Below are 26,061 nucleotides of genomic sequence, written 5' to 3'. Positions count from 1 at the left end.
AAGTTTGAATCTTAAACCTTTTAGAAGATTTTGAGGGAAAAAAAAATACACACTTCTGAGGGAACACTTACCATATGGAGCTGCCTGAATAGTTCCCTTAATGAAGTTTGCAGCAAATACTGGTTGTTCAACAGTGAGGTTCGTCATCAGATCAAATGGCATCATAAAAGACAACATGGGATCACTGATGGAGCATGAAGTTATGAAAATCACCTACGCAAGGACAGAAACTTTGGAAAAGGAATGCAGAATTTGTCCATGGATTGAGACTTACAAGAGCAAGGTGCATTCTGGTCTAACTGAGAAACATCATCTTTTCTTCCACCACCCTTCAGTGTGGAAAATCCCAAAGCGCACGTTTAAAAACACTTCAAAAGTCAATGTTTAAGTTTTCTTCATTTCAAGGAAAACAAATGTAGAGTTAATCAGCAGATTAAAGTAGAAGTAGAAATTACCCGGTATGAAGTGAGAAACAATGTTCCTGTCTTTCTACCACTAAAGACATTTGAGCCTTCTGATCGCTGTGGGAAGGAGAGCTCCACATTCGGAGACCGCTTCAAGAGACTGTAGAAAATGAGGAACAGACGGCACACAATAAAGAATGTATGTAAAATGACACACATAAAGTTCTTAACGCAATTTTTTTTTTTTTTTGAGACAGAGTCTTACTCTGTTGCCCAGGCGGGAGTGCAGTGGCACGATTTCACCTCACTGCAAGCTCCGCCTCCCGGGTTCACACCATTCTCCTGCCTCAGCCTCCCAAATAGCTGGGACTACAGGCGCCCGCCACCATGCCTGCCTAATTTTTTTGTATTTTTGTAGAGATGGGGGTTTCACTGTTAGCCAGGATGGTCTCGATCTCCTGACCTTGTGATCCGCCCGCCTCAGCCTCCCAAAGTGCTGGGATTACAGGCATGCCACCGTGCCCGGCCCTTAATGTAGTTTTTTTTTTTTTTTTTCCAGAGTAAGCACTCAATAAACATTAGCTGCTGCTACTGCTACTATTACTACTACTACTATTTTATTGAAATAAAAAGGAATTCAAATGATCTTATTCTCTGACAATTTACTCTTATTCTTCTCCCTCTTCATCATTGGATTCTTTTTCTTGTCAAACCTACTCCTATTCTCAATGTGTGTTCATTAATTCTTATACTTCTTGTGCGGTAAGTGTAAAGCACTGTGCTAATAGAAATGGTTCTTTGACGCTGGTAAAGAAAGTAAGGCAGCAGACTGCCCCAGCCCCCTCTGACATGTTCCCTCAGCCTGTCGTGCTCTCTCCTTACTGTTAACCTGGAAAACTTGGACTCACCTTACTGTCACTCATCAAATCCTGCTGGGTTCTTTTTTTTCTTACTTTATCTTTCTTTCTTTTCTTTCTTTCTCTTTTTCTTATTTCTTCTTTCTCTTTCTCCCTCCCTCCTTCCCTCACTTCTTTCTTTCCTTTCCTTTTGACTTTCCTTCCCTTCTTCCCTTCCCTTCTTTCCTTCCATTTCCTTCTTCCCTTCCCTTCCTTTCTTTTCTCTCTCTCTCTTTCTTCTGTCTTTTTTTTTTTTTTTTTTGAGACAGGGTCTCACTCTGTTGCCCAGGCTGGAGTGCAGTGGCATAATCTCTGCTCACCAACCTCCACCTCCTGGGCTCAGGTGATCCTCCCATTCAGCCTCCTGAGTAGCTGGGACCGTAGGCAAGCACCACCACGCCTGGCTAATTTTTTTTTTTTTTTTTTGAGAGAAGTCTTGCTCTTGTCCCCCAGGTTTGAGTGCAATGGCTCGATCTCGGCTCACTGCAACCTCCGCCTCCCGGGTTCAAACGATTCTCCTGCCTCTGCCTCCCAAATAGCTGGGATTAAGTCGCCTGCCACCATGCCAGGCTAATTTTTGTATTTTTTGGTAGAGACGGGGTTTCACCATGTTGGCCAGGCTGGTCTGGAACTCCTGACCTCAGGTGATCCGCCCGCCTCGACCTCCCAAAGTGCTGGGATTACAGGCGTGAGCCACTGCACCCGGCCAATTTTTTTGTATTTTTAGTAGAGATGAGGTTTCACCATGTTGCCCAGGATGGTCTCAAACTCCTGGGCTCAAGAGATCTGCCTGCTTTAGCCTCCCAATGTGCTAGGACTACAGGAATGCGCCACCATACCCAGTCCCCCAGCCTTTTCTTTCTTAATGATATATGTAACCAATGTATAATGATCATTAGGTACAATGTCTGCCTTCTTTGCTACTCTAGCCCTAGCAAACAGTGGGTGCTCTAAATAGTTATTAAAAGAATGAATGAAAGCATGAATACAGATCATAATGCAAACAATATATGACATACATAATATAAATGTATGTCATACATTTATTAGTAACAAACTGTCATAGCAATTTAGTGAAAGAAGAGATTCGTTTTAGTTGAAGTAATTAGGAATGACCTAATAGAAAGACTGCAATTTGAGCTGATTAAGAGATGGGTAGTATTCTGGCTGGGCACAGTGGCTCACGCCTGTAATCCCAGCACTTTGGGAGGCCGAGGCTGGCGGATCATTTGGGGAGTTAGAGACCAGCTTGACCAACATGGTGAAACCCCATCTCTACTAAAATACAAAAAGTATCCAGGCATGGTGGTACATGCCTGTAATCTCAGCTACTCGGAAGGCTGAGGTGGGAAGATTGCTTGAGCCATGGGGCACAGATTGCAGTGATCCACTGCACTCCACCCTGGGCAACAGAGTATGACCCTGTTTCAAAAAAAAGAGAGAGAGAGAGATGGGTAGCATTCAGTAGGTAGAGGTGAAGGTAGAGGACAATCCAGATGGGAAGCAAACAGCATTCATGGAGGTGCAGGAGCAGATATGGAAAGCAAACTGCATACTTGGGAGAAGCCTAGTGGTATGGCTTCATCAAAACACAGTGTGGAAGTGAGGTTAGGAGAAACAGTGAAACAAAGTTGGAAAGCTATGCTGGAACTACAGCTTAAAGACATCATTTGATAGGCAAGGAGAAACTGTGAGCTTCAGATTTCTCAACAGGAAAGTCACATAATCAAGAAGGTAGTGTATCAGAGGGATCAGTTTAAGAATTCCTAAAATAGTCCTGATGCAAGGTAAAAACTGGAACTAGGGTGGTAATGTGCAGATTAAAAGGGGAGGATTTTTAAAAGACTATGAAAATACAGGACATTAGCAAAAAACTGTGGAATGGGAATCTTTAAATGTCAGTCTAGCCATAAAAGCAATAAATAAAGCAAAAGAAAACCTGTCAGAATCAACTTTTTCAGAACTCTAGAATCTAATCAAAAGCTTATGGTAACTAGGGGAATGCTTAAGTAATTTTTTTAAAAAGCCAAATCTCAGTAAGTAAGCTTTATGACATTTTAACCTACCCTGGTATCATCCCCCACTACTAGCTTGGCAGCAGCTTTGAAGACAACAATCTATATTCCCATGATAGATACGAAGTACTGGAGGGAGCAGAACACACTTATTTTTAAAAATTGTAGTTTGACTTGTCTGGTGGCTCCTTGAAGGACCGGCTCAAAGGGCATGTATTTAATTTGTAATTTTCCCGGGACTGATGAGGCTACCGGGAGGCATTTGTCAAAAACATTTCCGGCCGGGTCCGGTGGTTCATACCTGTAATCTCAGCACTTTGGGAGGCTGAGGCGGGAGGATTACCAGAGGTCGGGAGTTCAAGACCAGCATGACCAACATGGAGAAACCCCGTCTCTACTAAAAATGCAAAATTAGCTGGGCCTGGTGGCATGTGTCTGTAATCCCAGCTACTCGGGAGGCTGAGGCAGGAGAATTGCTTGAACCCGGGAGGCAGAGTTTGCAGTGAGCCAAGATCTTCCCATTGCACTCCAGCCTGGGGAACAAGAGCGAAATTTCATCTCAAGAAAAAAAAAATTTCCAAGCCAATGTATTAGTTGCTGCTACCTAGCGAAAGGGATGACAACTGGGGCAAAAAAACAGACAAATTGAAAAGCTAAAGGAAAGGATGAGCAATGAGATGCTTTGAGGAATAAAGGCTTCGAAAAGCTCACACATATTCCTGAGAAACAAGAAAGCCATACACATACATGTCCAGGGCTAGATTCATACTAAAAACAAACAAAAAATGAAACACACACACACACTGAAGAGGCACTAAGCTTTCACCTCTGATTGACAATTAGAAGTGATGCAAAAAGGCCTCGGTGCGGTGGCTCACGCCTGTAATCTAGCACTTCGGAAGGCTGAGGCAGGCAGATCACCTGAGGTCAGGAGTTCAAGACCAGCCTGGCCAACATGGCAAAATCCCATCTTTATTAAAAATACAAAAATTAGCTGGGCGTAGTGGTGGGCGCCTATAATCCCAGCTACTCAGGAGGCTGAGGCAGGAGAATTGCTTGAACCCGGGAGGCAGAGGTTGCAGTGAGCCAAGATCATGCCATTGCACTCCAGCCTGGGCAACAGAGCAAGACTCTGTCTCAAAAAAAAAAGGAAATGATGCAAAAAGAAGTGAAGGTGAAGGCAGAGTTGTAAACTGCCTGGCTGAGTAAGAAAGGCACGCTCATGCTCCAACACACACAAAGCCCATCTGCAAGGGCTGGGAGATTTTGTTGTTGTTGTTCCAGACATAGAAGAAAATTTCTGTCAAATCACTAGCTGGCCACTGAGGTAACAGAACTGAGATTCCAGTGGCCACAAATAACAAAGAATACAGACTTTACAAAATTAGTACAGAAAAGTCACTGTACAAACAAATAACAAGCAACAAAAATATACCCTGAAGAAGAGGGAGATTCTACTTTCCAGAGTTACTACATTAAAATATTCAAAATGTCCAGTTTTCAACAACAACAAAAATCACTAGGCATGCAAAGGAACAAGAAAGTATGGGAATACACAGGAACAAAATAAATTAATAAAAACTGTCCCTGAGGAAGCCCATACATTGGATTTATCAGACAACACTTTAAATAAACTATTGTAAATATACTCAAAGAGTTAAAGGAAATGATGTCCAAATAACTAAAAGAAAGAATACAAACAAAGTCTCAGGAAGTAGAGAATATCAATAAAGAGGCAGAAATTATTAAAAGGAACCAAACAGAAATTCTAGAGTTGAAGACTACAACTGAAATGAACAATTTAATCACTGGGGCTCAACAGCCAATTTTGGCAGGCAGAAGAGAGAATTATTGAACTTGAAGTAGGTCAATGGGAATAACGGTTACTACCTGAGTAACACAAATGGGAAAAAACGAAGAAAAAATGAACGAAGTCTAAGAAATCTGTGGGACACCATCAAACATACCAATATATCTAGAATGGGAATTCAAGAAGGAGAGGAGAGAGAGAAAGGGGAATAAAGAACATTTGGGGCCAGGCGCGGTGGCTCATGCCTGTAATCCTAGCACTTTGGGAGGCCACAGTGGGCAGAATGCGTGAGCACAGGTGTTCAACACCAGCAAGGGCAACATGGTGAAACCCTATCTCTACAAAGAATACAAAAAATTAGCCAAGCATGGTGGAGTGCACCTACAGTCCCACCTATCCAAGACACTGAGGTGGGAGGATTGCTTCAGCCTGGGAGGTCAAGGCTGTAGTGAGCCACGACTGTACCACTGCACTCCAGCCTGGGTGACAGAGGGAGACCCTGTCTCAAAATAAGAAAAAAGAATATCTGAGCCGGAAACAGTGGCTCATGCCTGTAATCCCAGCAGTTTGGGAGGCTGAGGCGGGAGGACTGCTTGAGCTCAGGAGTTTGAAACCAGCTTGGGCAACATAGTGAAACCTCACCTCTACTAAAAATTTAAAAATTTGCCGGTGGGGTGCGGTGGCTCATGCCTGTAATCCCAGTACTTTGAAAGGCAGAGGCAGATGGATCACCTGAAGTCAGGAATTCGAGCCCAGCCTGACCAACATGGTGAGACCCCATCTCTACTAAAAATACAAAAAATAGCCAGGCGTGGGTGGTGCATGCCTATAATCCCAGCTACTCCGGAGGCTGAGGCCGGAGAATTGCGTGAACCCAGGAGGCAGAGGTTACAGTGAACTGAGATCGCACCAATGCACTCCAGTCTGGGCAACAGAGTGAGACTCTCTCTCAAAAAAAAAAAAAATTAAAAATTTAGTCAGGTGTGGTGGCATGCATCAGTAGCCCCAGCTACTCAGGAGGCTGAGGCAAGAGAATCACTTGAGCCTGGGATGTCGAGGCTGCAGTGAGCTGTGATCGTGCCACTGCACTCCAGCCTACGTGATAGAGACCCTATCTCAAAATAAATAAATAATGGCCAAAACCTTCCCAAATTTAATGAAATACATGAATCTACACATCCAAGTGCAACAAACTCCAAGTAGAATAAACTCAGTTCCACACTGACATGCATTATAATCAAATTATTGAAAGCCAAATACAAGGAATCTTGAAATTAACAAGATAAGTGACTCATCACGCACAAGGAATCCTCAGACTAGCAGCTGATTTCTTTTTCTTTTTCTTTTTCTTTTTTTTTTTTTTGAGATGGAGTTTCACTTTTGTTGCCCAGGCTAGAGTGCAATGGCACAATCTTGGCTCACCACAACCTCCACCTCCCAGGTTCAAGTGATTCTCCTGCCTCAGCCTCCCGAGTAGCTTGGATTATATAGCTGGGATTACAGGCATGCACCACCACACCCAGCTAATTTTGTATTTTTAGTAGAGATGGGGTTTCTCCATGTTGGTCAGGCTGGTCTCGAACTCCCGGCCTCAGGTGATCTGCTCACCTCGGGCTCCCAAAGTGCTGGGATTACAGGCATAAGCCACCACGCCCGGCCAGCAGCGATTTCTTATTGAAATCATGGAGGCCAAAAGGAAATGTGATGACATATTCAAACTGCTAAAAGTAAAAAAACACTCCGTTGTTTTTTTTTTTTGAGACAGAGTCATGCTCCATTGCCCAAACTGGAGTGCAGTGGCATGATCTTGGCTCACTGCAACCTCCACCTCCTGAGTTCAAGTGATTCTCCTGCCTCAGCCTCCTGAGTAGCTGGGACTACAGGTGCGTGCCACCACGCCCAACTAATTTTTTGCATTTTTAGTAGAGATGGGGTTTCACCATGTTAGCCAGAATGGTCTCCATCTTCTGACCTCGTGATCCACCTGCCTCGGCCTCCCAAAGTGCTGTGATTACAGGCGAGAGCCACCGTGCCCAGCCCTAAAAACAAAAAACTCTTAACCAAGAATTCTATGAGTGGCAAAACTATCCTTCAAAAATTAAAGAGAAATTAAGACATTACCAAATAAACAAAAAATGAAAGCTCTTTACTAGTAGATTTGAAATACAAGAAACGCTATATTTTATAATATGTTTTCTGATTACAATGGAAAGAAACTAGAAATCAACAGCACAAGGAAAACTGCCACAAATATGTGGAAATTAAACAATACACTATTAAATAAATGAGTCAAAGAAGAAATCAGAGGGAAATTAGAAAGTACCTAGAGAAAAATGAACATGAAAACACAACATACCAAAGCTTATGGGTTGCTGTAAATGCAGTGCTAAGATGTTTATAGCTGCAGATGTGTACTTTAATAAAGAAGAAAGATCTCAAATCGACAACCTAACTTTATGCCTCAAGGAACTAAAGAAAAACAAATGAAGCCCAAAGCTAGCAGAAAGAAGAAAATAATAAAGATTAGAACAGAGATAAATAAAAGCGAGAATAGAAAAAAATAAGAAAAAAAATTTAAGTTCAACAAACTTGACAAACTCTTAGCTAGATTAAGAAAAAGAGAGAAGTCTCAACTAAAATCAGAAATGAAAAAGAGGATATTAAAACTGATGCCAGCCAGGCATGGTGGCTCAGCCTGTAATCCCAGCACTTTGGGAGGCCAAGGCAGGTGGATTACTTGAGGCCAGGAGTTTGAGACCAGCCTGGCCAACATGGCGAAACCCCATCTCTAGTATAAACATTCAAAAAAATTAGCCAGGCATGGTGGTGGGCACCTGTAATCCCAGCTACAAGGGAGGCTGAGGCAGGAGAATCACTTTAACCCAGGAGGCAAAGGTTGCAGCGAGCCAATATTGCACGACTGCACTCCAGCCTGGGCGACAGAGTAAGACTCTGTCTCCAAAACAACAACAACAAGAAAAACAACAACAACAACAACCAAAAAAAAAACTGATGCCAAGGAGTTACAAGGATTAAAGAGAAAACCAAGGACAATTGTATGTCAAGTTGGATAACCTAGAAGAAATGGATAAATCCCTAGAAAAACACAACCTACCACACTGAATCATGAACAAACATAAAATATAAACAGACCAATTAACTAGTAAGGAAATTGAATCAGTAACCAAAAACCTCTCAGCTAGGTGTGGTGGCTCATGCCTTTAATCCCAGCACTTTGGGAGGCTGAGACAGGAGGATTGCTCGAGGCCAGGAGTTTCCGACCAGCCTAGGCAACTTGAAAACCTCATCTCTACAAAATATATAAAAAAAAAGTTGGGTGTGGTGGCACACATCTGTAGTCCCAGCTACTCGGGAGGCTGAGGTGGGAGGATCACTTGAGCCTCGGAGATTGAGGCAGCAGTAAGCTGTGATCATGTCACATCACTGCACTCCAGACAGGGTGACAGAGTGAGAACCTGTCTCAAAAAGAGAAAAAAAAACCTCTCAACAAATTCTATTATACAAAACGTTTAAAGAATTAACTAATCTTTCTGAAACTCTTCCCCAAAATTAAAGAGGAAGAAACACTTCTAGGCTTACTTTATGAGGCCAGCATTACCCTGATACCGAAGCCAGACAAAGAAACTACAATAAAATAAAATTGCAGGTCAGTATCTCTGATGAATATTGATGTAAAAAATCCTCAACAAAATACTAGCAAACCAAATTCAGCAGCACATTAAAAGGACTATACACTATGACCAAATGGGGTTTACTCCTAGAATGCAAGGATGGTTCAGCATAGGAAAATGAATCAATGTAACACACCATATGAACAAAATGAAGGGAAAAAACCATGCGATCATCACAATCGATGCAGAAAAAGCATATGAAAAGATTCAGTATATTTTTGGCCAGGCGTGGTGGCTCACGCCTGTAATCCCAGCTCTTTGGGAGGCCAAGGCGGGCGGATCACGAGGTCAGGAGATCGAGATCATCCTGGCTAACACGGTGAAACCCCATCTCTACTAAAAATACAAAAAATTAGCCGGGTGTGGTGGTGGGCGCCTGTAGTCCCAGCTACTCAGGAGGCTGAGGCAGGAGAATGGCGTGAACCTTGGAGGCAGAGCTGGCAGTGAGCCGAGATTGCGCCACTGCACTCCAGCCTGGGCAACAGAGCGAGACTCCGTCTCAAAAAAAAAGAAAAAAAAGAAAAGAAAAGGTTCAATATATTTTCATGATAAAAACACTCAACAAACTAAAAGTAGAAGGAAGCTACCTCAACATAATAAAAGCCATATATGAAAAGCCTGCAGCTAACAGCATACTGAATGGCAAAAGACTGAAAGCTTCCCCTCTAAGATTAGAAACAAGGCAAGGATGCCTGCTTTCACCACTTCTATTCGACATAGTATTGGAAGTCCTAGCCAGAGCAATTAGGCAAAAAATAAAATAAATAAATAAATGGTATTCAAATTTGGAAGGAAGAAGTAAAATTAACTCCGTTCACAGATGGCGTGATCTTATATGTAAATAAACTTAAAGAGTCCACCAAAAAGCTGTCAAAATAAGTGAATTCAGTAAAGTAGCAGCATATAAAATCAACCCACAAATATAGTTGCATTTCTATACACTAATTATGAATGATCCAAAAAGGAGATTAAGGAAATAATTCCATTTACAATAGCATCAAAAAGAATAAAATACTTAGGAATAAACCTCACCAAGGAGGTGAAAGGTTTGTACACTGAAAACTATAAAACATTAGTGAAAAATATTGAAGACATAAATAAATGGAAAGATATCCCATGTTCATGGATTTGAAAACTTAATAAGGCTAAGACGTCCAGGCTACTCAAGTGATTCAGAGATTCAACACAATCCCTACCAAATCTCAACAACACTTTTTGCACAAACAGAAAGCGACATCATAAAATTCATATAGAATCTCAAGGGACCCCAAAAAGCCAAATAATTTTTAAAAAGAAGAACAAAGAGGATTCACACTTCCTGATTTCAAAGTATATTACAAAGCTACAGTAACCAAAACAGCATGATACTGGCATTAAAGATAAACAAACCAATGGACTAGAATAGAAACAAATCTTCACATATATGTGAGAATTGATCAAATAATCTTCAACAAAGGTACTAAGATGACTCAGTGAGGAAAAGACAATCTATTTAACAAATGATGTCCTTTTAGAAAACTGGATATCCACATGCAAAAGAATGAAGTCATACCTTTATCTTACATAGTATGCAAAAATTAACTCAAAATGGATTAAAGACTTAAACATAAGACCCAAAACTATAAAACTCCTAGAAAAAAACATACTGAAAATCTTCGTGACATTGGACTTGTCAATGACTTCTTGGATAAAAAAACAAAAGCACCGGCAACAAAAGAACAAATAAATAAATTGGACTATATCAAACTTAAAAATTGTGTATCAAAGGACACAATCACCAGAATGAAACAGCAACCTATGGAATGGGAGAAAATATTTCAAATTGTATTTATGATAAGGGCTTAATATCTAGAGTATGTAAAGAGCTCCCTGTAATCCCAGCACAAGGCCAAGGTGGGTGGATCAACTGAGGTCAGTAGTTCAAGACCAGCCAGCCCAACATGGTGAAACCCTGTCTCTACTAAAAATACAAAAAAATTGGCCAGGCCCAGTGGCTCACGCCTGTAATCCCAGCACTTTGGGAGGCTGAGGCGGGTGGATCACAAGATCAGGAGATCGAGACCATCCTGGCTAACACGGTGAAACCCCGTCTCTACTAAAAAATAGAAAAAATTAGCCGGGCGTGGTGGTGGACACCTGTAGTCCCAGCTACTCAGGAGGCTGAGGCAGGAGAATGGTGTGAACCTGGGAGGCGGAGCTTGCAGTCAGCCAAGATCGTGCCACTGCACTCCAGCCTGGGCAACAGAGCGAGACTCCATCTTAGAAAAAAAATAATAAAAAAAATTAGCCAGGTGTGGTGGTGGGCACCTGTAATCCCAGCTACTCAGGAGGCTGAGGCAGGAGAATCACTTGAACCTGGGAGGCAGAGGTTGCAGTGAGCTGAGATCGCACCATTGCACTCCAGCCTGGGCAACAAGAGCAATAATACACAAATGGCCAATGAGCATATAAAAAGATTGTCATTACTAATCATCAGAGAAATACAAATCAAAACCACAATGAGACATCACTTTATACCCATTAGGATGGTTAATATTTAAAAAACCAACAGGTCCAGGCATGGTGGCTCATGCCTGTAATCCCAGCACTTTGGGAGGCCAAGGTGAGTGGATCACTTGATGCTAAGAGTTTGAGACCAGCCTGGCCAACACAGCGAAACCCCGTCTCTACTAAAAATACAAAAAACTGGGTGTAGTGGCATATGCTTGTAATCCTGGCTACTCAGGAGGCTGAGGGCATGTGAATCACTTGAACCCCGGAAGCTAAGGCTGCAATGAGCCAAGATCCTGCTGCTACACTACAGCCTGAGTGACAGAGTGAGACTCTGTCAAAAAAAGGGAAGGGAGGGGAGGAGAGGGGGAGGGGGAGGGAGAGGGAAGGGAGGGAGAAAGGAAAGGAAAGGAAAGGAAAGGAAAGGAAAGGAAAGGAAAGGAAAGCAAAGGAAAGGAAAGGAAAGGAAAGGAAAGGAAGAGGAGAAGAGAAGAGAAGAAAAACAAGTGTTGGTGAGGATGTGGAGAAACCGGAACTCTTGTGCACTGTTGCTAGAAATGTAAAATGAGTAGCTGCTATGGAAAACAGTCCGGAGGCTCCTCAAAAAAAATTAAAAATAGAACTACCGTACAAGCTAGCAATCCTGCTTCTGGGTATACATCCAAAAGAATTGCCAGCAGTGTCTCAAATAGATATTTGAATACTTATGTTGATAGCAGCACTATTCACAATAACCAGGAGGTGGAAGCAACCTAAATGTCCATCAGTGCATGAATGGATAAACAAAATGTGGCACATACATACAATGGAATATTTTTCAACCTTAAAAGAAGGAAATCCTGTCACATGCTGTAACATGGACGAACCTTGAGGATGTTACGCTAAGTTAAATAAACCAGCCACAAAAAGACAAATATTGTCATTACACTTACATGAGGTATCTGAAGTAGTCAAATTCATAGAAACAGAAAGTAGAATGGTTGTTACTAGGTGTCATGGGGAGAGGGATAGAGGGAATTGTTTAATGGGAACAGAATTGTTGGGAAAAGTATGGTGAAGTGGGCACTCAGAGTACTGAGAGGAATGTAAATTGATATAATTCTGTAGGGCAATTCTGCAATAAGTGTATTTTAATGTAAAGTCATGTATACTTTAATATTTTGAACAATGATTTTTATATTTTCAATAAATATTTTTAATCTCTTTTTAAAAGTCTAATCCTCTGACCTCACAATTCCCCTATCCCAAAGAAACATTTTGACAGGTAGGCAAAATTATGTTTTCAAAAATGTTCATTGCAGGAATGTTTATAGTAATGACCAAAAAAACCACAAACAAACAAAAAACAAAACAAAAACCCAGACTATTCCAGATTAGGGGTTGAGTAAAGATTTATGCACACTGGAATACCAGCCATTGAAAATAATGATGTAGATACACTAGAAAACATTCCCAATATACTGGCAAATGAGGAAAATAAGTTATAAAGCAGTTGGAGAAAAAAACTGTTTATTTCCATGTGGAAAAGTACAGAAGGACATATACCAAAATGCAAACATTACTGGTAAAAATTTGGGATAACAGATTTTTTCTTCTGATTTTTCTATAATGACAGGTTTCCAGCACACGTTTTAACAATGCATAAAATAAAACAACTCAATGATTCCCATTTTACAGTAGAGTCTGTCCCATATGTTCATGACTTCTCAGCTGGGGTCAGAAAAAATCTCTACAAAACACAGCAAGCTGTGATCAATTTCTCAACTGTGTATTGTGAATAGGCAAGAGGAGTCAAAATATAATGGGAACTCCGAACAGTTCATGGAATTAAAAGATAAAAACATAAACCTTATTTCTCAACATAAGTTCCAACAAGTTCAAGACACTTTAGTAAGCTATGACACAAGCCATTTAGTCCATCCCTAAAGAACTGAGGGTCCTGGAAATGTAATCATGCCAAGGCAGTCTTTTTTACATTTTTAACAGAAGAAAAATGGGTGCCCAATCAGGATTTTTAAGATTAGGAAACAAAGCCGGCTGGGAGCGGTGGCTCACGCCTGTAATGCCAGCACTTTGGGAGGCTGAGGTGGGCGGATCACGAGGTCAGGCGATCGAGACCATCCTGGCTAACACAGTGAAACCCCATCAGTGGGTTTAGTCTCTACTAAAAATACAAAAAATTAGCCGAGTGTGGTGGCGGGTGCCTGCAGTCCCAGCTACTTGGGAGGCTGAGGCAGGAGAATGGCGTGAACCCGGGAGGCAGAGCTTGCAGTGAGCGGAGATCGTGCCACTGCACTCCAGCCTGGGTGACAGAGCGAGACTCCGTCTCGAAAAAAAAAAAAAAAAGATTGGGAAACAAAATAAATTAGAAGGAGCCTAATGATCCATGAATGCCTAATGATTTCCCATCAAAACCCTTGCAAAATTGCCTTTGTTTGATGAGAACGATGAACAGGAGCATTGTCATGGTGGAGAAGAACTCTCTAGTAAAGCTTTCTTGGGTGTTTTTCTGCTAAAGCTTTGCCTAATTTTCTTAAAACAAAGCAGATGTTACCATTCTTTGACCTTCCAGAAAGTCAATAAAGAAAATGCCTTGAGCATCTCAAAAAACTGTTGCCATGACATTTGCTCTTGACCTGTCTGTTCACTTTTGCTTTGAGTGGACCACTTCCACATCTTTGTAGCCACCGTTTTGATTGTGCTTTATCTTCAGGATCATACTGGTAAAGCCATGTTTCATTTCCTGTTACAATTCTTTGAAGAAATGCTTCAGGATCTTGATCCCACATATTTAAATTTTCCACTGCAAGTTCTGCTCTTGCCTGCAGCTGATCTGGGCACTACACTTTTGGCTCCCATTGAATGGAAAGTTTGCTCAACTTTAATTCTGTAAACTGAACCAAATGATATGTGTACTGTATTGGTTATTGTTTCTGCTGTCAATCATGAATTCTCTTCAATTAGGGCATGAACAAGATGAATTTTTTCCTCACAAATTAATGTGGATGGTCTGCCACCACAGGCTTCATCTATTTATTTATTTATTTTTGAGACAGAGTCTCACTCAGGAGTGTCACCCAGGCTGGAATGCAGTAGCGAGATCTCCACTCACTGCAACCTCCACCTCCTGAGTTCAAGCAATTCTCCTGCCTCAGCCTCCCAAGTAGCTGGGATTACAGGAACCCACCACCACCCCCAACTAATTTTTGTATTTTTAGTAGAGATGGGGTTTCATCATTTTGGCCAGGCTGGTCTCAAACTCCTGACCTCAGGTGATCCACCTGCCTCAGCCTCCCAAAGTGCTGGGATTACAGGCGTGAGCCACCATGCCCGGCCTATTTATTTATTTCAGACAGAGTCTTACACTCTGTCACCCAGGCTGAAATGCAGTGGCATGATCTTGGCTCATTGCAACCTCCGCCTCCTGGGTTCAAGTGATTCTCCTGCCTCAGCCTCCTGAGTAGCCGGGATTACAGGCACGCACCACCACGCCTGGCTAATTTTTTTATTTTTAGTAGAGACGGGGTTTCATCATGTTGGTCAGGCTGGTCTCGAACTCCTGACTTTGTGATCTGCCCACCTTGGCCTCCCAAAGTGCTGGGATGACAGGCATGAGCCACCATGCCCAGCCTATTTATTTTTTGAGACAGAGTTTTGCTCTTGTTGACCAGGCTGGAATGCAATGGTGTGATCTTGGCTCATTGCAACCTCAGCCTCTCAGGTTCAAGCGATTCTCCTGCTTCGGCCTCCCGAGTAGTTGGGATTACAGGTATCACCACCACACCCAGCTAATTTTTTGTATTTTTAGTAGAGATGGGGTTTCCTCATGTTGGCCAAGCTGGTCTGGAACTCCTGACCTCAAGCAATACACCCACTTTGGCCTCCCAAAGTGCTGGGATTACAACCGTGAGCCACTGTGCCCTGCCCAGGCTTCGTCTTTAACATCATCTTGTCCCTTCTCTTTTTTGAGACAGGGTCTCACTCTGTCACCCAGGCTGGAGGCTGGAGTGCAGTGGCACAATCTCAGCTCACTGTAACCTCCACCTCCCAGGTTCAAGTGATTCTCCCACCTCAGCCTCCCAAATAGCTAGGACTACAGGCACATGCCACCACATCCAACTATTTTTTGTATTTTTAGTAGAGATAGGGTTTTACTATGTTGCCCAGGCTGGTCTTAAACTCCTGGACTCAAGTGATCCACCGACCTCAGCCTCCCAAAGTTCTGGGATTACAGGCATCAGCCACTGCACCCAGCCCTTGTTCCTTCTTTTTAAATTTTATTTATTTACTTATTTTGATATGGAGTCTTGCTGTGATGCCCAGGCTGGAGTGCAGTCACGTGATCTCAGCTCACTGCAACCTCCACCTCCTGGGTTCCCACAATTCTCCTGCCTTAGCCTCCCAAATAGCTGGGATTACAGGCATGTGCCACCACGCCTGGCAAATTTTACATATTCTTAGTAGAGACAGGGTTTCACCACGTTGGCCAGCTGGTCTCAAACTCCTGACCTCAAGTGACCCACCTGCCTCGGCCTCCCAAAGTACTGGGACTGCAGGCGTGAGCCATCGCGACTGGCCTCTTGTCCCTTCTTATTATCCATTTGTAAACTGCTGATTTATTTGGGCCATTTCCCCATAAACTTTTCCTAAAGCATCAATGGTTTCACCATTCTTCCACCCAAGGTTTACCATAAATTTGATGTTTGTTCTTCCTTCAATTTAAGCAGTATTTATGTTGCTCTGATAGGAGCCCTTTTTCAAATTGATATCTTATCTTTCTTAGTGCCTCAAACTAAATCCTGTTCAGTCATGTTATAACAAGTTAGTATGAGTTAATTTTGGTGGAAAAATAATCTGGAATCCATGCATAGTTTTTTCGCAACCCATATTTTCCATGATCTTTTTGAAGACTCCTCATAGAATCAATCTTCTCCTGCTCAAGTTTTTTTAGTTTCTTTTTTTTAATAACATCTTTTATTTGTATACAAAGTACAAACTTGCTTTATTCGGATTTTTCTTTTTTTAAAAAAAATTTATTTTTAGTCAACTTACTCCCTTTTATTTATCAGCAGTTTGCTCTGACAGAATAAATTACAAACTGTTGTTTCGATTAATCCTTTTAATCACCATGTCAGGCACACAGGTTGGAGGATATTAGCTCCCATTTTACAAAAAGTGGAAACACTGTACCCACATTTAGTGTAAGACAGAGCTAGGATATAAGCCTTGGGCTTCCATAGTCACAACTGCTTTTTTCCATAACTTTGTAATACATCATTTTTAAGCAATCTGATTTCACAATGTTTTACAGTATAAGAGTAACATCTATAGCATCTCTTCTTGGCAGGTTACCCCTCTGGAGAGAACCAATGTAATTACCTCATAAGCTGGCACTTTTTTTTTTTTTTTGAGATGGAGTTTCACTCTTGTTGCCCAGGCTGGAGTGCAATGGCGTGATCTCTGTTCACTGTAACCTCTGCCTCCTTGGGTTCAAGCGATTCTCCTGCCTCAGTCTCCCAAGCAGCTGGGATTACAGGCATGTGCCACCATGCCTGGCTATAGTTTCTTTTTTTTCTTTTCTTAAATTTTATTCTGTGAGATGAGGTCCCACTATTTTGCTCAGCGTGGTCTTGAACTCCTGGCCTCAAGTGATCCTCCCACCTTAGCCTCTCGAATAGGTGGGACTACAGATGTGCACCACTATCTCTGGTTCTTTAAAGTAGTTTCTATCCAGGAAGCTAGGGTACTAATAGGATCTTCTTTGGTGAGAAGAAAACAGAGAAAGAGTCCTTTTCTTTCTAGAGGGACAGCTGGAGTACAGGAGTTTATGCACAGTACCTAAGTTCAAATCCAAATCCAAGCTCTCCCACATGCGCTTTAAGCAAATGACTTCTTTTTGTTTTCCCACCTGTGAAATGAGGGAAAACAGTACTGATCTTCACTGTAGATAGACTGAGTTTTTTTACTTTGTTTTGTTTTGAGACAGAGCCTCACCCTGTTACCCAGGCTGGAGTGTAGTGTCATGATCTCAGCTCACTACAACCTCCCCTCTGCCTCCCAGGCTCAAGCAATTCTCGTGCCTCAGCCTCCTGAGTCGCTGGGATTACAGACGTGCACCACCATGCCTGGCTAATTTTTGTATTTTTAGTAGGGACAGGGGTTTCACCATGTTGGCCAGGCTGGTCTTGAACTCCTGATCTCATGTAATCCACTGGCCTTGGCCTCCCAAAGTGCTGGGATTACAGGCGTGAGCCACCACGCCTGGCTGGTAAAGTGGTTTTAACTACAGTATAAAGCTCTTAGAACTAAGAACAGTACTTGAAATAGTGTTCGATAAATGCTATTAAGTATTCAGGAGCACAAAATGGATCCCATAAAGGTAATTCAAAGGACCACAAAAATCAGTGTTTCTGTGTTTTGTTTTTTAAAACATGCTTCCTTCCCTTTCTCCAACACACAAGCAGTGAAGTAGAGAGACACCCATAGCCCGAGTGAGAAGACACCCAAACACCAAATTAGAAATGACTTCACAATCAGCCCCGGAGTCAAAGCCGATTCTCGGACCAGTCCCATCCCACAGCAGCCTGCCTCCTCTTTCGACATCACAGAGGCTGCTGTGTCCTTCGCCAAGGACTCCCTGGCAGGTGGAGTGGCCGCAGCCATCTCCAAGATGGCGGTAGCACCCATCGAGCGGGTCAAGCTGCTGCTACAGGTGCAGCATGCCAGCAAGCAGATCACTGCAGATAAGCAATACAAGGGCATTAGAGACTGCATGGTCTGTATTCCCAAGGAGCACGGAGTCCTGTCCTGGTGCGGTAACCTGGCCAGTGTCATCAGATACTTCCCCCACCCAGGCTCTTAACTTCACCTTCAAAGATAAATACAAGCAGATCTTCCTGGATGGTGTGGACAAGAGATCCCAGTTTTGGCGCTACTTTGCAGGGAATCTGGCATCAGGCGGTGCCACTGGGGCCACATCCTTGTGTTTTGTGTACCCTCTTGATTTTGCCCATACTCGTGTAGCAGCTGATGTGGGCAAAGCTGGAGCTGAAAGGGAATTGCGAGGTTTCGGTGACTGCCTAGTTAAGATCTACAAATCTGACGGGATTAAGAGCCTGTACCAAGGCTTTAACGTGTCTGTGCAGGGTATTATCTACCGAGCTGCCTGCTGCCTACTTCGGTAACTATGACACTGCAAAGGGAATGCTTCCGGATCCCAAGAACACTCACATTGTCATCAGTTGGATGATGCACAGACTGTCACTGCCGTTGCTGGGTTGACTTCCTATTCATTTAACACCATTTGCTGCTACATGATGATGCAGTCAGGATGCAAAGGAACTGACATCATGTACACAGGCACATTTGACTGCTGGAGGAAGATTACTCATGATGAAGGAAGCAAAGCTGTTTTCAAGGGTGCATGGTCCAGTGTTCTCAGAGGCATGGGTGGTGCTTTTGTGCTTGTCTTGTATGATGAAACCAAGAAGTACATGTAAGTTATTTCCTAAGATTTTTCCCCCTTTGAACAGGCATGTTGTATTATATGACATATCTTGAGCATTCTTTTTTTTTGAGACGGAGTCTCCCTCTATTGCCCAGGGTGGAGTGCAGTGGCACAATCTCGGCTCACTGCAACCTCCACCTTTTGGTGGAGCAATTCTCCTGCCTCAACCTTTTGGTTCACCTTTTGGGTGATTCACCTTTTGGGTTCAAGCAATTCTCCTGCCTCAACCTCCTGAGTAGCTGGGACTACAGACATCCGCCACCACTCCCGGCTGTTTTTTTTTTTTTTGTATTTTTAGTAGAGATGGGGTTTCAACATATTGGCCAGGCTGCTCCTGAACTCCCGATCTTGTGATCCACCCACCTGGGCCTCCCAAAGTGCTGGGATTACAGGCGTGGGCCACCGCGCCCGGCTATCTTGAGCATTCTTGACAGACTCCTCGCTGTCAATTTATCAGTGGCAACTATTCACTGGTTGGAAATGGGAAGCAATAATAGTCATCTGACCAGTTTTCTCTTAAAGCCATTTCTATGATGATGATGATGATGGGACTCAATTATGTTTTTTATTTCAGTCACTCCTAATAAATAACAAATTTGGAGAAATAAAAATATCTTAAGAAAAGAAAAAAGAAAAGAAAAGAAAGGCTTCACACCATGGAATGACAAGTGCTCAAATGGCTCTCAGTAAGTGCTCACGGGGACACCACTGTCAGAGTGGTGAGCAATCATCTACCACAAAATGGAACAAAGCAGCAGAGGTACGTAGGAAGCAGGTGAGAACATACAACCTCTAAGGCCCATATAAATCTGTCAAGAAAACTTTCTGGAGGAAGGAAAGATAGAAGAAAGACCTGGATATCAGCATTTGGTAACGTCTACTTCGATCTTCCTGACAACTACATTCAAACTGACCTGAGTGTGCTGGCCCCAAGCACATCATCCAGCTTGAGTTTCAATGCTGGTTGGGAGAAAAGGAAATTGAGGGCAAGTCAGAGCCCAGAAAGGAGCGCAATTTAGAACTGCACAGCGGGGGAGACTGAGTTTGAGTGTAGGAAACGGGAAAGGGGGCGTGTGGGGTAAAGAGGTGAGCGCAGTGGAGTCAGGCCTTAGTGAACAAGTGTGCTTGAAGGTGGAGATGGGCACCCCTCTGGCTGAGTCTGCTCCAGTAGAGAGCTCAGGGGCCAGCAGCAGGCACCGCAAGGAGCAAAGCAACTGGTGTAAGCCCCACAGCTTCCTGCGACCAACAGTGCTTTGTTGTGCCCAGGCATCTGTTCAGTCCCATCTTTTATTTTAAGACAGGATCTGGCTCTGTTACCCAGGCTGGAGTGCAGTGGTACAATCTGAGCTCACTGCAGCCCAAACTCCTGGGTTCAAGCAATCCTCTTACCATCGCCTCCCAAGCAGCTGGGATTATGGGTGCACACCACCATGGCCCACTAATTTTCTACTTTTTGTAGAGATGGGGTCTCACTATGTTGCCCAGTCTTGTCTCAAACTCCTGGGCCACCTCAGCTTCCCAAACTGTTGGGATAAGAGGCATGAGCCACTGCACCTGGCCTCAATTTTTTCAATTTTGTTTTTAAAAGCAGACATCTCCCTGGTTGGAGCAAGGAGGAAACATGGCTTTAGAAAGTTTCCAGGTCCAAGGAGAAGCCCCACAACAGTTTGAGATCTTTCCAGAATGATCCACACTCGACCTCCTCATCCCTCTTACCAAAGAGCGACACCTTGTTCGTGGAAGTAGGAGGAGATACACACCCAGTACCTGTCCTCATCCAACAAAGTCGCAGGCACCCAAGGGCAGCCACGCTGCCACCGAAGGCCCCCGGCTGCTCACAACCGCCGGTCAGCTCCGGCCTCTCTTCGAAGGACACACGCGTCTCGCACCCCCTCCCCGCCCCGCCCTGAGGAGACATGCGTCTGGGCCCCGCGCCTTGAAAAGGCGCATTCCCACCCCCACCCCTCAAACGCGCGAGGCCACGCGTTCCGGCCTCCGCCACCTCCACATGCCGGAACACCAGTGAGGGGCGCGCGCTCCCAAAGGTCGGGGGCGGAGCTAAGAGCGCCGCGCCCAAAAAAGGCGGCAAAGTCCCTGACTCGCTGAGAGTTTGCGAGCCGCCATGTCTATCTCATTCGTCTCCTCTCCTCCGACAGCACGCCGTGCTTCCCCTCAGGCACCTTTCACCGTTAGGGATGAGGGCTCCGCGGCGGTTCTCGGTGTGGCTCTGATTCACCGCCATCTTGCTTCGGGCCTCCTGCCGCCCCGTAGATGGAAAGGGGCGGGACCTGCGCCGAGCTGTGGGGCGCGGTTCTGAAGGGGAGGGCGGAGATTATGACGTAAGGAGGAGGAGGAGGAGGAGCGAGACCGGGTCACGTGGTGGGGCAGTGCCCGGGGAGCGGGGCGGAGTCAGGGTAGAGGCCCCCGCCGAGAAAGGGGAGAAAGAGGCGGGCCCTGAGAATTGGCTCGAGCGCGAAGGGGTGAGTGATAGGTGAGTGGCCTCCCGACCTCACCTGCCCCCTTAGCCCCCTGCCTTTAGGTATGGACTTGGGTTGGTCCTGTCAGGAATGATCTCAGCTCACTGCACCTCCAACCTCCCATGCTCAAGCCATCTTCCCACCTCAACCTCCCATCCATTACTCACTTTGGTTATGAAACACTAGAAAATAATGACTGAGGCCCGACCTGACGCCAACTGAAGATGAACTGACCTCACAAAGTGTTTTCATCTCTAATATCTGTGGCTATTTCTTACCAAGAGAGTCTCACCCTCCACACATGGGTGAGATGACATAATGGCTGATTTGGTCAAGGAGCACAAATAAGACAGGCCAGGCAGTTACTGTTCAAACAGCAATGTTTAGTTGTACAACACATAAAGTCTAGCAACAATTACAGGACCAGTTTGAGTGTCTGTTTGCTTGTTTTCAATTGGGAAATTTAACTGTAATGTCACCGTAAGATTGGCTGGGACTGGTAACATTTAAGAAACGGGTTGTTCTTGCATCCCCTAGGCGTGGGCCTCTTGCTCCATCAGGACTTGGTTGTAGATGAATGGCCCACAAGTCACCAGCCTTTGAGCAAGTTGTGTCCAGGTGGAGACAGGAAGAGGGTGGGCAAAGGGGAATTCTATAAAGACACAGTGTGTGGGGCAGTGGCAGTCAACATTCGCAAACATTCATGCATCTGATGGGGGGCTTTGCCCTCCCTTGGGTATTTTCCATTAGCCTACAGTGACCACCTGTGGTCAGGCTAATTCATTACTCACATTAATGGGGAAGGGGGTTGGGGGTAGGAGTAGGTAGGGTAGGTGGGAAGAGATCCCTCTTATTGCTGAGTGGACAGAAGGGTGCTAGTTTTTCCTTAGCGTGTACATATTGTGGGTTTCTGGGGGTTTGTGTGTGTGTTTAGTTTTTGTTTGTTTGTTTGGACAGAAGAAAGTCAACTCCAGCAATGTCTTCTTAGGAAAACCACTCTTCCTCAGTGGCTGCGTTATGAGGTGGGGAGGATGTACAACCGCACTCTGGGACAGCCACAAGTGGTGATTTTTTAAAAAGTGATCCTAGCCCTTGCTCCCCAACATCTGTAGTGACCCACCCTCATGAATATCTTTAAGTAATGAAGGAGACACCCTTGTCCCACTTTGGGGCTCACACAGCTGATCTCAATGAATCTAGTAAGCAGAAAAATTGCTTTCTTGACCCTTTAAGGAAGCCAAGAGTAGCTCATGCAGATGAATGGGTAGGGAGCAATGCCATTGCCCTTAGAGATGGTTACAAGTAGCTGGGATGGGCTTACAAGGGCAGAAGGAGCTCTTGATGAGTTCTTTCACCCTGCAGATGGGCTAGGACCGGCTGACGCAGATGATGCAGTAGGGCTGTACTGGCAGAACCCCACTCCACTGGGAGGAGAGGAGTGGTTTGGATAAATGGAGGATGCAACTGGCCTAAAGAGGCAGCTGGCCCCTCCCACCTACTGAGGGCTGAGAGGGGCTGTGGTGGTGAGCTGGACGAGCACAGCACTAAAAAGGGCTTGGCCCTGCAGCAATAACAGCTGAGAGGAATGGAGTGAGAAGCAGCGCTTGAAATGGCCTTCATTCAGCAGTGGGGCAGGGGGTGGCTGGCACAGGTGGAAGGACAGTGCCCAGGAGGCCTTCTCCCTGCAGGGGGGTTGAGAACGGTTGAGGGTGTGGAGACCAGCAGCTGGCAGCAGACATATAAAATACCTTCTCCAGGGAGGCTCAGATCATGGTTCAGGGGTGCCAGGCACCATTCCTACTCAGCCTTTCCAACGCCCACCTCCCATGCCCATAGATCTTCCCCTGCTGGTCCAAGGTCTCCATACAGGACTGCTTCTACAGTAGCCAAGGATCCCTGTTCTGTTGAAATGTATAACCTCTGGGCTGTAGCGCTGCTGCTGTTCTGTCCTGACAGGTGCCTACCCTGTAACTTTGTGAGCAAGGGAGGATGAGGGCTGGGTTGGCAGCCTCCAGGAAAGACCGAGAGCATAGGTTGGGGTCACTGGTGACCTGATCACCGCCCCCCTTTCTCCTGGTCCATTGAATCTTGGGTCTTGAGTCTATGTTTTTTTTCCTAGCACCTGAGTGATAAAAGACTGGGATTATAAGTGCTGGGATTCATAGAGGACCAGTGAAACACCTAGGCTGAACCAGGAGATGGGACAGAAGGTTGTATGAGGTTATTGTAAACAGTTTCACTTAGTGTTTTCCCTTCCCTAAGGCTAAACTGTTTCCCTGGCCCCGAATTTCATGAATCTTACAGATTAAAGGAAAAGAGTAACTTACTTGTACAACAAGCAGGGGAAATATATGCATTAATAAATACAGGGCTTCAGGGAAAGGCAAGAAAAGCCTAAATGTATGACGGTGGGTATCATTGGGAATGTCTACAGGAGTCAGGAGGAGAGGGAATTAGGGAAAAGTAGAGAAAGACAGACATAAATATGATTAGCTTCAGCACAAAAGTGATGGGGAATAGAAAAGAGAGGTCAAGTATGTATGAAGCAAATGGAGCAACAGAGAAGCCTGCTTAGAAGGGAGAGAAGTCTGACGGAGAAAACGGAGGTGTGGTCAAAAATTTGTCTTTGAAGCCAAATTACTAAGAAAGACAAATTATGTATATTGTTTCTGATACTTCTTTAGAATTAGTTCTAGAACCTGATGTCCCAATAAAAGGTTGTCTCACATGACTAGCATGTGTGCTTCCTTTAACTGGACACTGGGAACTGCATAACTCACTGTGTTTCCCTCTTTACATTGGCTGCCTGTGAGCTCAGGGCCTGTTCAGGTGCTTGACTACAGAAACTTTCTTTCCTATTCCTTTCTTTGACCCAGATTTCTCTGGCAATCTGTTTGTACTGTCCTGTAGTTTTGTGATTTTATGTGAAAGGCAGTCTAAAGTCATTTCTGGAAGTAGACTGGGCATAAATGCTAAATATAGGAATGAACCTAAAGTAGATTCATCTAAAAGGAAGTGAGAGATGTCAGAGACACGCAGGAGAGGGAGAGAAAGCAATGTATGAGGGAAGGAGGGAAAGGGAGAAAGAAGACAAAGTCGGAAGCAGAGACAGGCAGTGGCCTGGCAGCAGAGGCCAGTTGAGTGGAGAGCAGCAGTAGGCTCTGGTGACAGGTGGTAGCTTTGTGACACTGAACACGACACAGACTGAAGGGTGGAGCTCCATTTGTAGGCACTGATGCTTTCTGCAAGAACCCAGCTCTGGCCTACTTCTCTGCCTTCTCATGGCCTTCCTTTTCCCAGGAAGCCCCAGCCTTACCCCCAGACCACCCCCAACTTACAGGAGGGTTGTCCTGAACTCCCTGCCCCCTACTCAGGTCTAGCTCCACTGCCATCTGTCCTTGGAGAATCTCTATAGCCCCAGTTTGTGTGCAGGTTCCGAGAGAAGAGTTGCCTGTGGCTCACCTGCTCCCAGCACTTTTAAATGAAACCTCCCCCAGATCTCCTGAGTGAGGCAAACAGCTTTGTTTTGGGACACAAGGAAAGGAGACAGATAATGGACAGGCATGGAGGAGCCAAACTTACAAGGGACTCTCCAGGGAGGGCAGTGAAAATACCTCACCCCTGCATGCACACACACAGGCTCTCTCGCTCTCTCTCTGTCACACACACACACACACACACACACACACACACACACACAGACAAGATGCTCCACAAATACCAGACAGGCCTGTGGGACAGAGTTGAGAGGAAGAAGGTGGTTGGTGGTGGTATTTGGGATGTGTGTGTGTGAAGTGGGTATGTGTGATGACACAGAGAAGTGGTCGTCATGGGTTACTGTCGTGGCTTTCCTCTGTGTCCACGCTCACCGGAGGGAGGCCTCCATTGTCATTGAGCCGCTTGGCCCTGTAAGTCTCATAGTGGATGTTGTGTGTCACTTCCTTGAGGTCCTGGAGGTGGGTCCTAGAGGACACAGGGTGAGAAGAAGAGGGCTGCAATTAGGGGCAGGAAGAGGAGGCGGTGACACACATCACTTCGAGGGACTGGACCCAGTGAATGGGAACCACTCCCAGGAGCTAAGGATTCTTCTACAGCACCTTCCATTTTGCAACAGGAGCTGGAACTGGGGCAGAAAGCTCTGTCAGAGAGACCTGGAGATGCAGGAGGTGAATCTGAACAGATAGACCCTGACCCCAAATAATTCAACCTGCTGTCTGGACAGCTGGAGGGGAGACATCTTACCTGATGACAAAGTCTCGAAGCAGGGCAAACTCACAGTGGTTGAGGTTTTCCACTATGAACAAAACAAAACAAAGCAAAACAGGTAGTCAGTTCATTAATACAGCAACACCCAGGAGGTGAGCTTCTGTTTGGGTCACGGAGGCATTTAGGAGAAAGCTATGGGACAGGTCATTTTTTGTAACCCTTCCAGAGATTTGCTCACTTGGGTGTACTGGATTTGATTCATTGAACAAATATTAAGCAGCTACAATGGGCACGACATCCTTCTAGACGCTGTGGCATAATAGCCAAGAGGGACTATAATTTTTACCATTTTATAGAAGAGAAAACTAATACCAAGTCTGAGAAACTGGCCAAGGCCTAAGATACACTTCCCATTCTTCAGAAGCTTATAATCCGGTTGGAAGTAACACAGAGAAAATAATAATTGAGCCATTTTAAAAAGGTCATGCACTACATGACAAATCCAATTCAACATATATTGAATACCTAGTATTTGCAAATCATTGGCCAAGCACTGTTGGAACA

At 44.6% G+C, this 26,061-nt stretch overlaps 2 protein-coding genes and 1 pseudogene across 23 annotated transcripts in view, besides 8 other annotated features; 1 reads left to right on the top strand and 2 right to left on the bottom strand.

Annotated features, from left to right (window-relative positions):
* WBP2NL (WBP2 N-terminal like) overlaps window positions 1-21,087 on the bottom strand; it is a 59,584-nt gene extending 38,497 nt beyond the window's left edge. For 3 of the 8 annotated variants that reach the window (XM_047441175.1, XM_047441174.1, NM_152613.3), the window contains exons 1-3: window positions 20,995-21,087; window positions 456-564; window positions 72-213 (exon numbers count right to left, since the gene is read on the bottom strand). In XM_047441175.1, coding sequence (XP_047297131.1) covers window positions 72-213; window positions 456-564; window positions 20,995-21,056 — 313 coding nt within the window. In that variant the 5' untranslated portion in view covers window positions 21,057-21,087. Of the gene's footprint in view, window positions 1-71; window positions 231-455; window positions 565-20,574 lie in introns of those variants that run through there. The other 5 variants (XM_047441173.1, XM_047441172.1, XM_047441178.1 and 2 more) reach the window with 4 other exon arrangements.
* Window positions 1,749-3,314: an enhancer, noted in NCBI's record as "E3 fragment". NCBI's record gives the evidence for it as "EXISTENCE:reporter gene assay evidence [ECO:0000049][PMID:25381333]".
* Window positions 1,749-4,186: a biological region, named in NCBI's record as "CYP2D6 downstream enhancer". NCBI's record gives its function as "regulatory_interactions: CYP2D6 | LOC110740340".
* Window positions 2,513-4,186: an enhancer, noted in NCBI's record as "E1 fragment". NCBI's record gives the evidence for it as "EXISTENCE:reporter gene assay evidence [ECO:0000049][PMID:25381333]".
* Window positions 3,042-3,245: a DNaseI hypersensitive site, noted in NCBI's record as "A5 CHART-PCR amplicon; the nucleotide coordinates are approximate for this feature". NCBI's record gives the evidence for it as "EXISTENCE:in vivo cleavage assay evidence [ECO:0001075][PMID:25381333]".
* On the top strand, window positions 17,842-19,442 carry SLC25A5P1 (solute carrier family 25 member 5 pseudogene 1; annotated as a pseudogene).
* Window positions 17,972-19,171: an enhancer, noted in NCBI's record as "CDK7 strongly-dependent group 2 enhancer chr22:42396708-42397907 (GRCh37/hg19 assembly coordinates)". NCBI's record gives its function as "activates an origin of replication core promoter dependent on BRD2, BRD4, P300/CBP, MED14 and CDK7 cofactors, with strong dependence on CDK7, by STARR-seq in HCT116 cells {active_cell/tissue: HCT116}" and the evidence as "EXISTENCE:reporter gene assay evidence [ECO:0000049][PMID:35650434]".
* Window positions 20,506-21,020: an enhancer, noted in NCBI's record as "H3K27ac-H3K4me1 hESC enhancer chr22:42394859-42395373 (GRCh37/hg19 assembly coordinates)". NCBI's record gives its function as "activates a minimal SCP1, AML or CMV promoter by ChIP-STARR-seq in naive H9 embryonic stem cells {active_cell/tissue: H9 hESC(naive)}" and the evidence as "EXISTENCE:reporter gene assay evidence [ECO:0000049][PMID:30033119]".
* Window positions 21,021-21,537: an enhancer, noted in NCBI's record as "H3K27ac-H3K4me1 hESC enhancer chr22:42394342-42394858 (GRCh37/hg19 assembly coordinates)". NCBI's record gives its function as "activates a minimal SCP1, AML or CMV promoter by ChIP-STARR-seq in naive H9 embryonic stem cells {active_cell/tissue: H9 hESC(naive)}" and the evidence as "EXISTENCE:reporter gene assay evidence [ECO:0000049][PMID:30033119]".
* Window positions 21,135-21,194: a silencer, noted in NCBI's record as "silent region_13817". NCBI's record gives its function as "represses an Ori minimal core promoter by ATAC-STARR-seq in GM12878 lymphoblastoid cells {active_cell/tissue: GM12878}" and the evidence as "EXISTENCE:reporter gene assay evidence [ECO:0000049][PMID:35858748]".
* Window positions 21,654-26,061, bottom strand: part of SEPTIN3 (septin 3) — a 28,779-nt gene continuing 24,371 nt past the window's right edge. For 8 of the 15 annotated variants that reach the window (NM_001389668.1, NM_001389671.1, NM_001389673.1 and 5 more), the window contains 2 exons: window positions 25,534-25,585; window positions 21,654-25,254 (listed from right to left, as the gene is read on the bottom strand). In NM_001389668.1, the coding sequence (NP_001376597.1) occupies window positions 25,119-25,254; window positions 25,534-25,585 (188 nt within the window). In that variant the 3' untranslated portion in view covers window positions 21,654-25,118. The remainder of the gene's footprint in view (window positions 25,255-25,533; window positions 25,586-26,061) is intronic. The other 7 variants (NM_001363845.2, NM_001389669.1, NM_001389670.1 and 4 more) reach the window with 1 other exon arrangement.

This window comes from Homo sapiens, chromosome 22 (genome assembly GCF_000001405.40).
Source record: "Homo sapiens chromosome 22, GRCh38.p14 Primary Assembly".
In the NCBI taxonomy this organism is placed as follows: domain Eukaryota; kingdom Metazoa; phylum Chordata; class Mammalia; order Primates; family Hominidae; genus Homo; species Homo sapiens.
This window is presented reverse-complemented; position numbering and strand designations above follow the sequence as displayed.